At 43.1% G+C, this 13,227-nt stretch overlaps 1 protein-coding gene and 1 pseudogene across 5 annotated transcripts in view; one reads left to right on the plus strand and one right to left on the minus strand.

Annotated features, from left to right (window-relative positions):
* The window catches only part of GLB1 (galactosidase beta 1), a 136,039-nt gene that overhangs the window by 105,221 nt on the left and 17,591 nt on the right, over window positions 1-13,227 (minus strand). For 3 of the 5 annotated variants that reach the window (NM_001393580.1, NM_000404.4, NM_001079811.3), the window contains exons 2-4: window positions 6,216-6,385; window positions 2,492-2,642; window positions 1,902-1,962 (exon numbers count right to left, since the gene is read on the minus strand). In NM_001393580.1, the coding sequence (NP_001380509.1) occupies window positions 1,902-1,962; window positions 2,492-2,642; window positions 6,216-6,385 (382 nt within the window). Of the gene's footprint in view, window positions 1-1,901; window positions 1,963-2,491; window positions 2,643-6,215; window positions 6,386-10,765; window positions 10,910-13,227 lie in introns of all 5 variants that reach the window. The other 2 variants (NM_001317040.2, NM_001135602.3) reach the window with 2 other exon arrangements.
* Window positions 10,759-11,363, plus strand: SUMO2P10 (SUMO2 pseudogene 10; annotated as a pseudogene).

Below are 13,227 nucleotides of genomic sequence, written 5' to 3' on the forward strand. Positions count from 1 at the left end.
TTAATGGATTCATGGGTCATCATGGGAATGGGACTGGTGGCTTTATAAGAAGAGGGAGAGAGATCTGAGCTAGGACACTCAGCCCCCTCACCATGTGATGCCCTGTGCCCCCTCAGGACTCTGCAGAGTCCCCACCAGCAAGAAGGCCCTCACCAGATATAGCCCCTCCACCTTGAACTTCTTGGCCTCCATAACTGTAGGAAATAAATGCTTTTCTTTATAAATTACTCAGTTTCAGGTATTCTGTTACAAGCAACAGAAAACAGACTAAGACCATCCTTGCCACAGGACACAAAGCCTGGAGCATAGAACATATCCAAGCAATGTTTGCTGAATGAAGAAAAGAGTGACTGAACAGTGTATCCTCTTCTCAGTCACAGGAAGGCTTTTTTTCCGTATAAAATGAAGTTCTAATAAATTCTATATTTATATTGTCAAATAGGAATAATAAATGTACATGCCACATAAAGTTGGCATAAAGATTAAATGAGTTACCACAGTGAAAACACCAATAATATGCTAAGCGTGCAAAACATGAAGGTACTGGAGTAAGACAAAGAAAAAAACTATCATTTACACATTGCTCTATAAAAGTGGCCAGAATATAGAAGGCATTGCAGCTACCAAGCAATCCAATGACACCATCCCAGAAACTGTCATTTTGTTTTTATTTCTTTTTTTTTTTTTTTTTGAGACAGAGTTTCGCTCTTGTTGCCCAGGCAGGAATGCAATGGCGCAATCTGGGCTCACTGCAACCTCTGCCTCCCAGCTTCAAGCAATTCTCCTGCCTCAGCCTCCCGAGTAGCTGGGATTACAGGCATGCACCACCACACCCAGCTAATTTTGTATTTTTTAGTAGAGACAGGGTTTCCTCATGTTGGTCAGGCTGGTCTCGAACTCCTGACCTCAGGTGATCCACCCACCTCGGCCTCCCAAAGTGCTGGGATTACAGGCATGAGCCACTACGCCCGACCTTATTTCTTTTTTTGAGACAAAGTCCCTCTCTGTTGCCCAGGATGGAGTGCAGTGGTACAATCATGGCTCACTGCAGTCTCAACCTCCCAGGCTCAAGCAATCCTCCCACCTCAGCCTCCCGGACTACAGGCATGTGCCAGCACACCTGGCTAATTTTTATAGAGATAGGGTCTCGCTATGTTACCTAGGCTGGTATCAAACTCCTGGGCTCAAGCAATCCCTCCACTTTGGCCTCCCAAAGTGCTGAGATTACAAGTGTGAGTCACCATGCCTGACTTGTCATTTTGATTAGCGAGGTGCTATCATTGGCTGTGGAATATGCTAAGTAAATAGGAAGAGAAAGCACTGAAGTCAGTTGGTCAACCGCAAACAGGGTTCAATACCAATTCAAAGAATTACCAGTTTATCAGTAAGATCTGGTTACGTAGTTCAAAGCCTAATTTCCTAGAGGTTTAGTTTGTTGCTATGCACTGGTCAGTGATAAACACTCAGACTTTCACTAAACTTTCAAAAGTATTTGTGCAGAGGTACCCCAGCCTTCAAAATACCTCCCCCTTTTGATATAAATTGTTGAAGCTTTTTTGTTTGTTTGTTTGTTTTGAGACAGAGTCACGCTTTGTCACCCAGGCTATAGTGCATTGATACGATCTCGGTTCACTGCAACTTCCGCCTCCAGGGTTCAAGCAATCCTTCTGCCTCAGCCTCCTGAGTAGCTGGGATTACAGGCGCCCACCACCATGCCCAGCTAATTTTTTGTATTTTTAGTAGGGGCGAGGTTTTGCCATTTTGGCCAGCCTGGTCTCGAACTCCCAACCTCAGGTAATCCACCCGCCTCAGCCTCCCAAAGTGTCAGGATTACAGGCGTGAGCCACCGCACCTAGGCTGAAGCTTTTATAAATCTTCTCAAGACATCTGTAACAACCTACCTGGGTCGGAGGAGCGGAGAAGAATAGACTCTTTCTCTAGCAGCCAAGCAGGTAATCCTCCCTAGTTCAGGGAAAACAAGCCATTATAATGTCTGTTCCGTGAAGGGTGCTCAGAGGAGATAGAAATTACTATTAGTAGTTATGGAAAAGAATAAAAGCTTCAAGGGACAAGGGGTATTTGAGCTGGGCTTTTTGGTTTATAACTTGCAGAGAAATTAGAAATTGGAATGTAGGACAATTAAGATCACTCTGCATGAATGCAATGTTTTAAGGACCAAAGCCCTTTTCATAAAGATTTTTCAATTTAATTTCACAAATACCCTGTGACGTAGATAGAGAAGACACCATTAACTGCTTCTTACAGATGAGCAAGCTGAGGTATGTGAGTGACCACCAAGAGGAGAGCCCATGCCCTGACCCTGGCCTGTTTCTCTGCCTGGGCACCTTGTCAAGGTAAAAGACACCTGTGCTGGGTACAGTCCCAGGCCCCATGCTCTCTGGAATGCAGGTCTGCTTTAATTCCCTTTGCCCCAGAGCTGCTGCCTGCCAGCTCACACACACCAGGTAGAGCCCAGTCTAGCCACACTCACCATTTCCCACTCTGCACAGATGTAGGGCCCGGGCCTCAGGATAACCAGCAGTCCCAGCTCATGAGCCAGCCGAAGAAAATATTCCACATCATGGTCCTCAGAAAACTGGTACTGTCCTGGCCAGGGCTCATGAAAGTTCCAGGGCACATACCTGCCAAGACACACACAGCCCCTTCCTGGATACTTGGCAGAGTCAAGAAGAAAGAAGCGTGGGGAAAGGGCCTCATTAGGACTATTGCTAACACATGGATAAGAGGGAGAAGGCGCTTTGAAAGAAAAATTATCCAAGGCTGGGCACAGTGGCTCAGGCCTCTAATCCCAGCACTCTGGGAAGTCACGGTGGGTGGATGGCTTGAGCCCAGGAGTTTGACACCAGCCTGGAAAACATGGTGAAACCCCGTCTCTACAAAAAACACAAAAAAATTAGCCAGGGTGTATGCCTGTGGTCCCAGTTACCCTGGAGGCTTGAGGTGGAGGTTTGCTTAAGCTAGGGAGGTTGAAGCTGCAGTGAGCTGTGATTGTGCCACTGCACTCCAAACTGGATGACAGAGTGAGACCCTGTGTCAAAATAAAGAAAGAAAAGAAAAGAAAAATTATCCAGAATTTGGATATAAGGCAAAAGGGTGACTGCATTTCCTTTCCATGTTATAATGGAGGACTGTCCAATGGGCCCACTGAGGCTTCCTTCATTCTCCAGGGGAGATATTTTGTTTGACTTACTATTTACTATTGATTAAGGGAAGAACTTTGAAGTTACAGATTAATTTGTAGATTATTGCCTGAGAGAGAAACAAATGATTGTCATACAGAGAAGACAACTCTAAAGGTTGCTTTTTCATTCATTGCCCTTTATGATACTAACCAGTTTTATCTCTAAAGATAACTTTATTTGAACATGACTTTCTTGACTGACCGTAAACCTCCCTTCCTCAAATTCTCCTTTGAATTAGCTTTACCATCTAGCTAGTTTCCTCAGTAATAAGTTAAATAAATTTTTAAAAACTTTTATTTTAGGTTCAGGGGTACATGTGCAGGTTTGTTATACAGGTAAATTGCGTGTCATGGGGGTTTGGTGTACAGATTATTTAGTCACCCAGATAATCTGCCTAGTACACGATAGGGGAACTCACCCTCCTCCCACCCTCCACCCTCAAGTAGGCCCCATTGTCTGTTGTTCCCTTCTTTGTGTCCATATGTACTCGATGTTTAGCTACCACTTATAAGTGAGAACATGTGGTATTTGGTTTTCTGTCCCTGTGTTTGCTCAGGATAATAGCCTCCAGCTGCATCCAGTTTGCTGTAAAGGACATGATCTCATTCTTTTTTGTGATTTTTGTAGTATTCCATGGTGTATATGTACCACATTTTCTTTATCCAGTTAAATAAATTTCTGACATATGTCCATTATATACTTGTTTGTAAGTCAGGTTTTTAGCTTTTTGTAATTATATTTTGCATAAATAATTGAATTGAGGTGCTCTGTGGAAGGGGAAAGAGCTCAAAAATCCAGTATCCTACATAAATTTCTAAACTGTCTATAGAGAAAGATATGGTGTAGAACCATAAACCACAGGACACATAGACCTTCCCGCTTGGCAGCCTCTTGGGAGGGGCCTTGTTATGAATTTTTACAGCAGCTCCCCAAGCTAGTCAGACTTCATGGGGACACTTCTTAAAATCAACAACAACAACAGAAAACTCCAGAGTTATATCAGCACTAATTCCTATTACATAAAAATTATAGCTGGGCACAGTAGCTCTCTTCTGTAATCCCTGCACTCTGGGAGGCCAAAGCAGTAGGATCGCTTGAGTCCAGGAGTTGAAGACCACCATGGGAAACATAGTGAGACCTCATCTCTAAAAACAAAGCAAAACAAAAAAATTAGCTGGTGTGGTAGCAGTGCCTGTAATCCCAACTACTCAGGAGGCTGAGGTGGGAGGATCACCTGAGCCCACTTTAAGGTTTCAGTGAACTATGATTGAGCCACTACATTCCAGCCAGGTGACAGAGCAAGACCCCAGCTCTAAAAAATTGTTTTAATAAATAAAAATAAAAATTATATATGTCCATGTGAGGCTTAGGAAAAATAAGAATATTTTGCTGAAAAGTAGTAAGAGACATATTTATTTTTTGAAGAAATAATTTTTAGTACGTGTAGGAAAAACTCCAAGCCCTAGATCCTCTGACAAAAGATTTTGTCAGGAATCATGTGGCAGGAGGTAAAATGACAAAACCTTCTACCAGCTCCTCTGTCTACCTACAGACAGCATGGGATACAAAGTTAAATATGGAGCCATCCATTACCATCACAAAGCTCTCTTTGAAGACCCTGGGTTGTGTCATTTTGCGTGTGTGTGATCCCATGATTTCAGGGTTCCCTGGAACAGTCTTGGTCTTCCAGAACTCACTGTCGGAATTATAAACAGGTGAACTTGGGTTCACTCTGCCAGTGGCCTTAGAACCAGAATAATGAGCGCATTCTCCCTAAGTATCTATCTTCGGAATCTGCCTCTGGGTTTTCTCACTCTTCATCTTTGAGAAGTTATCAGCAATCCACATCAGCACTGCAAGAGCCAGAGCAGCCAGCCACACCAACTTTCTTGCCTGTTAGTTAGTTACTTTGCAATAGCAAAAGAGATGCAGAGAGATAGCTATTGGGATAATTCTACACCCTGAAGTTATACAATTACCGCAGCAGAACCACAAAGCCAAACTGGGTTTCAGAAATCTACCTAAGCACAAGGCTTATTCTGTTATTGGGGCTCAGAAAACAATACCCCAAAGTATGGCACCTTGGCATGCTAAGTACTTTGAACTAAAGGAGATCGGAAGGCCTTAGAAGCAAATCTTCTTTCTCTGGCCTTCTCCTGCTCTTCTGTTGCCCACCCCTCCTTCTCCCCTGAAGCAAGTCAAACCAGAATTCATCTTCCCCCAGTGTGGGTCATAGAAATTAGAACCCCTCTCTCCCAAAGCAAGCCAGAAAACCTAGAAAGGTCACCTCTCCCTTCTCCCTTCTAGACCCTCATTGCAGAGGGGTCCTGCTCCATACCCAGAAGGAAGGAATGCCACCCAGAAAGGCCAAGAAGAATCTGTTGAGGCAGGCCTTGAGGGTTTCCCACTTCAGTCCACCACCATTAGGTCAGAACCTTTCATGGAATCTAAGTGTAAAAAGTTTTCCTTGGGTCTTCTTTTCTGAAGACTCTCATGTCAGATAAAACTTACATATCTGTTATGCTTTTCTCCTGTTAACCTAGCTTTTTGTATGACTACAGCCATACCTGTGCTACAGCTGCCTGCATGCCTTCCCTTCCCTTCAAATACTAGCTGAACCTCTGACCAAAGATATGGCCTTGGGCAAATTTCAGTTTCACCAGCTATAAACAGGAACAATAATACCTATCTCGAGGAAATGGAATCATTAGTATAAAGTGCCCTGTATCTGGTAAGTGCTCAATCATTGTTACTTCTGTTTGCTTCCCCCATCCTTTTCCTTTTTAAGCTATTTATTTAATGATTTCTGATGATTAAAATTGAAGATTGGAAGAAGTAGTTAATTATTTGAAAAAGGGCCAGTCCGGCTCATGACAAGCCCCTCCCAGAACATCACACTGGACCATTTCCCATTTCTGAGCAATAAAATAGCCACCCTGAGAAATACAGTTGTATCTTCTCTCCAGAGTGGGTGTTCAGGCCTAGGTGAGAGCCACATGCCCTCCTACTTACGTCTGGATGGCGTTCAGCCCAGCCATCTTCATCTTCAGCAGCCGGTCCTTCCAGTAGAAGCGGGGCACACGGGAGTAGTGAATGCTTCCTGAGATGTAGCGAAATGGCTGGCCATCCTTGAGGAAGGAGTCCCGGCTATAGTCAATTTCAAACATCCTCTGGGTGGCATTCTACAGAGCAAGGATGGGGTCACATGAGAACTTCCACCTTCTGCATTTCAGAAGCCGATCCTTTGAGAGTAGCAAGTGACTCTCTGCCTATTGAATTTGTATAATGTGCTGATGGACTTAATGCTTGTTTTCTGAGCTATCATACAAACCATTGCTAAGCCAGGTCCACCAGGGGTACTCAGGTAAGAGAAATCATCTAAGAGGATCCACATGCAGGATTCCATAAGGCTTAGCTTCTAGAGGCCAGCACTGAGCTGACAATCAGTGGCTGAGATGATATTCCACTGTGCTGTTCATGGGGCTGGGGAACATCACACACACACACGCATGCACGCACACACGCCATTGTTGCTGTGACCTGCCTGAGCACTGGATGCACCTCAACAACAATGTCACTGGGATAACCAAGACCCATTAACAAAATTCTAAGTGTAAAATACAGGGCAAAAAGCAATGGATTAAAACTCCAGAGCCTGACGCCCCATCCTAGATATTGCTCTGAATCCCATAGTGACCTGGATAAGTCCCATCTCTAACCCTACCTCTCTTCATCCATAACTATCCAGGGTATTAGACTAAAAGAACTTTAAGGCATTTAAGGCAATATTTGTAAAATTGTGGGCCATGACCTGATTTGTGAATAATAAACTCATTTTTGGTGGCAATAAGCATCTTTTAAAAATGAAAGAATTGTCCAGGCATGATGGCTCACACCTGTAATCCCAGAACTTTGGGAGGCCAAGGCAGGTGGATCACCTGAGGTCAGGAGTTCAAGACCAGCCTGGCCAACATGGTGAAACCCCATCTCTACCAAAAATACAAAAATTAGCCGGGCATGGTGGTGCACGTCTATAATCCCAGCTACTTGGGAGGCTGAGACACGAGAATCGCTTGAACCCGGGAAGCGGAGGTTGCAGTGAGCTGAGATCACACCACTGCACTCCAGCCTGGGCGACAGAGCGAGACTCTGTCTCAAAAAAATAATAAAATAAATAAAAATAAAAATCAAAGAATAGCAGGCACCGTTGCTTATGCCTATAATGCTAGCACTTTGAGAGGCCAAGGTTGGAGGATCACTTGAGCTAAGGAGTTCAAGACCAGCCTAGGCAATTCAGCGAGGCCTCGTCTCTACAAAAAAACAAACAAACAAACAAACAAAAATTAAGCAGGCTTGGTGGCACACGCCTATGCTCCCAGCTACTTGGGAGGCTGAGGTGGGAGGACTGCTTGAGCCCAGAAGGTTGAGAGTGCAGTGAACCGTGTTCATGCCACTGCACTGCAGCCTGGGTGACAGAGCAAGACATTGTCTCAAAAAAAAAAAAAAAAGGCAAGAAAGAAAATAGAGGCTGGGTGCGGTGGCTCACGCCTGTAATCCCTGCACTTTGGGAGGCTGAGGCAGGTGGATCACGAGGTCAGGAGATCGAAAGCATCCTGGCCAACATGGTGAAACCCCGTCTCTACCAAAAATTAAAAAAAAAAATAGCTACTCGGGAGATTGGGGCAGGAGCATCCCTGGAACCGGAGAGGTGGAGGTTGCGGTGAGCCGAGATCATGCCACTGTACTCCAGCCAGGTGACAGAGCGAGACTCCGTCAAAAGAAAGAACGAGAAAGAAGGAAGGAAGGAAGGAAGGAAGGAAGGAAGGAAGGAAGGAAGGAAGGAAGGAAGGAAGGAAGGAAGAAAGAAAGAAAGAAAGAATATTACACATAGTAAAGTATTACTTTATAAAACTTTTGTTATATATACATATGTGGAGTTGTATATGTACGCATGTATATTTGGTTGCAATGTAAGATTTATTTCTACCAAGCACGATTTTAAGAAACACTGTTTTGGGGTCACTTCAGGAGCTAAAATGTTAGGATTTTGAAAGGCAAGACCTCAACGGGTGGTGGGGGTGGGGGTTCGACTGTTAAGCCGAGTGGAACACTGCCCTCTGGTGGATAAGGCAGCAACAGGCCACAGGAGCCAAGAGAACCAGGGTTTTAAGAAGCCAACTAACTAGTGCTTTCCATTATGGGTCAGATTCCTTGTGCATCTTTAGGCTTTCAAAGGTCACAATACTAGCTCTAGTCACAGTAGCATCATAGTCCATGGTGGCTTTGGGGGTTGCCCTTGAAGCTGTATTTGGAAGCAACTGTGGCAGCATGAGTCCTAGATCACACATGCCTGAAATCCAACTGGCGAGCGGAAGTTAAACAACTCAGAGAAGAATTCATAGGGGCAAATGGAGAGCTTCACTGTAAGTGAATTACATCTCAATAAAGCTAAATAAACACAAACAACTAAGAATCATTTTTAAAAGGGCAAGTGTCAATTTAACATCACTTTATTCTTCTAGTAAATAAGGTTTTAATTTCTGTTCAAAGGAAAAGTCCCCTAAACTCACAAAAATAGAAAAATTATTTCTTACACCAGGTGTCTCAATGGATGCTCTTGAAAACATTCTCATAGTATATACATGGCTAAGTGTCAAATAAGTGTTCCTCACAAGTTTCCTAAGTTCAAAGGTGGCCCATGAGGTGGGAACATTCATTAGACAGGTAGAAAGGAGGCCAAGCAACTACTGGCAGAATTCGGAAAAGGGTAGAGCTGTTTGAAATCCACCTGTCTAAGTGAAAAAGTTCAGAGGAGCAGGAGATAAGGCTGGGAAAAAATGATGGTGGGAGACAATGGAATCTGGCCTTTGTCCCATACATGGTGGGACACTGTCTCTACCCTCCAATGACCTCAGTCTAGTCTAAATATCTCCCTACCATCCATTTACAAATATAGTATTACCAAGCACCTCTTACGTGCTGAGTAATCACAGACAAGAACCACACAGATGTGGCCACAACCCATATGGAGCTTCCATCTAGCCTAGAAGAAACCCAAGGGTTAACACAGTGAGGTCGAGGCGGTAAAGTAAGGGTTAGAGCAGAATGCTGCAGCAGAAATAAATGGCAGGGAACCCAGGCATGGCAGGGTTGAGGGGAGGGGCAAGGGCAAGTTTCTCAAAGGAAGAAACACCCCAAACTGTGTTTCTCAATCTTGGCTGCACAGCAAAATCATCTACGCAAGCTTTTAAAAATAGCAAAGTTCTTTGGGAGGCCAAGGCAGGTGGATCACGAGGTCGGGAGATCGAGACCATCCTAGCTAACACAGTGAAATCCCATCTCTACTAAAAATACAAAAAAAAAATTAGCCGGGCGTGGTGGTAGGTGCCTGTAGTCCCAGCTACACAGGAGGCTGAGGCAGGAGAATGGCGTGAACCTGGGAGGCGGAGCTTGCAGTGAGCCGAGATTGTGCCACTGCACTCCAGCCTGGGCGACAGTGCGAGACTCTGTCTCAAAAAAAAAAAAAAAAAGCAAAGTTGACCTCACCCCCAGACATTCATGTTTTAATTGGTCTTGGGAGGAACCCAGACATTGGAATTTCTTAAAGCTGCCTAGATGATGTAATGTGCAGCCAAGGTTGAGAACCACTGGCCTGAGCCAAGGCCTAGGATAAAGCGAAGTTAGCCATGGGGGAAGGTGACACAGATGGAGAAAACTGCGTGTGAGGCCTGGGGGAGGGAGGGCAGGACTACAGGCCAGGAGCCACAGAGCCTCAATATAGTTGAAACATGGCAGCTGCTGAGGCAGAGGAGGAGGCCAGGGCCAGATCGAATGAGCCCTGAAGTCCAGATTCAAGGGCCCGGATTTTATGCTGAGAGCCATGGAGAGCAACTGAAATGAAAGAATGATAGGACCAGATATGTGTTTTCAAATGTTTGGCTTTTTCCTGAATGGGCAAAAAAGGCAGAAGAGATGTGGCTATGGCCCACGGTGGTGACAATGAGGTGGGCAGGAGGCAGAAGGAGGACATTCCAGGATGGTGGCCAGTTAGATGTGAGGCACAGGCGCGAACCTGAAGAGGCTCCCACTGTTCTTGGGGAGAAATCTGAGTGTCAAAATGAGAGACAGAGAGAGCGAGCATGTGAGAGACTTAAGAGATATATCAATTTAAAAAATATGACTACGTGTATATTAACACCTATCAGTTCATCGTAATTTACAGGGAGAAAAAATTCATTGGTCACTTTTGGAGACTGCTAGAGTACCAACTCATTACTATGAAAAGTGATAAATACAGAGAAAGAGTCAAGCAGTTTACTTCCCCTTCACATAAAAACTGTATTTCAGGGTTATCAAAACATTGACAATGGAAAATTCTCCACTGGATCCCAGTTAATTAAATACAGAAGGGCCCGGACACAATGGCTCATGCCTGTAATCCCAGCAATTTGGGAGGCCAAGGCAGGAGAATTGCTAGAGCCCAGGAGTTCAAGACCAGTCTGGGGAACATGGCGAGACCCTGTCTCTATAAAAAAAAAAATTAAAATTAGTGTCTCCCTCACCCACTGCTGCCGCCTCCTTCTTCTCCCACTCCTGTTGCTGCTTGCGTGCTCATTCGGTGCAGTCTTGGTACCTCTTTTGTGAAGCGGCAGCTGAGACTTAGGCGCTTGCCGTGGCAGATGAAAAGCCCAAGGAAGGAATCGAGACTGAGAACAAAGATCATATTAATTTGAAGGTGGCAGGGCAGGAGGGTTCTGTGGTGCAGTTTAGGATTAAGAGGCATACACCACTTAGTAAACTAATGAAAGCCTGTTGTGAACGATAGGGATGGTCAATGAGACAGATCAGATTCCAATTTGACAGGCAACCAATCAATGAAAGAGACACACCTGCTCAGTTGGAAATGGAGGATGAAGATACAACCGATATGTTCCAACAGCAGTCAGGGGGTGTCTACTAAAAAGGGAACCTCCCACTTCACTCCAGAACTCTGTTCTTTACAGACCAAGATCACATTCTCAAATAGAAAACTGCAATTTGGTTCCACCACATCCTGACTACTACAGTATAGTTTTCTCTATTCTTTCATTTCCCCCTTCCCCATTCCTTTATTGTACATAAAGTAACTGGTAAATGTGCACAAGTATATTACTTTTTTTTTTTTAACTAAACAGCCAATGGTACGTTTTGATTGATATCAAGTGGAGATGAGATGGGGAAAAATACCGATTCTGTAAAAATACTCCCTTTTCTTCATTAGTGGCATGCTCATTCAGCTCTTATCTTTATATTTCAGTAAGTTATTTTGCTGTTTTAACAAAAAAAAAACATAAAAATCCTTGCATACTTTATTCAATTGTAGAATGTTAATGTTTTTCATTTATCATTGTAAAACCAAGGACAATTTTATAACTTTGTTGTACATAGTTGTTAAATGTAGGGCAATTTGTCTTTAAGTAGGGATAAATTAGTCTAAAAAAAAAAAGGAATCCTAGATAGTTTTTCCTTCAAGTCAAGAAGCTTGTTGTTTAAACTTCTTGTTTAAAATAAATAAACAAACAAAATTAGCTGGTGTGGTGGCAGGCACTGGTAGTCTTAGCTACTCAGGAGGCTGAGGCAGGAAGATTGCTCGAGCCCAGGAGGTCAAGGCGATGGTGAGATGTGATAGGGCCACTGCAGTCCAGCCTGGGTGACAGAGAGGGACCCTGTCTCAAAATAACAATAAATGCAGAAGGAATAAAAGCATCTGAAAACACCTTTTCCCCAACACTTAGTGAAATGGATTTAAGCTATAATCATCAATAGATGCTAAAACCATTAGAAACACTGATGGAAATTGTGTGAAGGATTGGGCATATTTTTTGTGCTCCATCTGCTCAATTTCAGCCTCAAAAAAAGTCGAATAGCCAGACATTATGTCTCTCATGTTATGATTTAACACGAAGTACAGTCTCATCTAGAAAGTAGTCCTCATTATTGAATCAAAATCACAATTGAACCCGAATCTAATAATACCATAAGGAAGCAATAAGCCAAATCCAAAATGTGGGACATTTTAAAAGTCCAATGATTCAGTTGTTCCAACAAATCAATGGTATTAAAAGAAAGAAAGGGAGTATTATTTGGAAATGAAAGAACTTCAGAGGAATAATGGCCTAATGATTGCATTAGATCATTATATGTGATATGATATGTGTAATAAGGTATGGTACAATATTCGTAATATGAAATGATACGATATTCATTAGGTCAGTGTGAACCTGGTTTGGATCCTAATTCTTTTATTTTTATTACTTTTTATTTACTATTATAATTTTTTAAGATTTTTTGGATACAGGGTCTTGCTCCGTCACCCAGGCTGGAGTGCAATGGCTCAATCATATCTCATGGCAGTCTTGAACTCCTGGGTTCAAGCGATTCTCCTGCTTCAGCAAACTATGGCATATGTATATGATAGACTACTACTCAGCAATAAAAAAGAACAAACTACTGGTATTTGTAATAATGTAAATAAATCTCAAAAATGTTGAGAGAAAGAAGCCTTACACAATTGGGTTCATACTGCATGAACCTATTTATATGAAGTCCTGGGAAAGGCAAATCTAATCTATGGTGGAAGAAAAAATCAGAATAGTTAACTCTGGGAGAGTAGAGGTAGGTATTGCCTGGGAAGGGACGTGAGGGAACTTTCTGGGGTAATGGTAATTAATATTCCATAGCTAGATAAGGGTTTTGGATTATGCAGGTGTAGGCATTTGTTAAAACTCATCAAATGGTACGTTTAAGATATGTGCATTTCATTGTATGTAAATTTTACCTTGGAAGAAAAAGGGGCTACTAACAAACACTGACTGCTAGTTAATGATATGCCTACTGAAGTATTTATTTTAGCAAGAGGAGGGCATTGATATCTGCAACTTATTTTGAAATACATTCAAAAAATAAGATGAATTGATAGATGGAGGAATGGACTGATAGTAATATGTTAATGGTATAATCTTTCAACCCTCTCTGAAAAATTTTC

The sequence above is a fragment of the Homo sapiens genome, chromosome 3 (genome assembly GCF_000001405.40).
Source record: "Homo sapiens chromosome 3, GRCh38.p14 Primary Assembly".
Taxonomy (NCBI): Eukaryota; Metazoa; Chordata; class Mammalia; order Primates; family Hominidae; genus Homo; species Homo sapiens.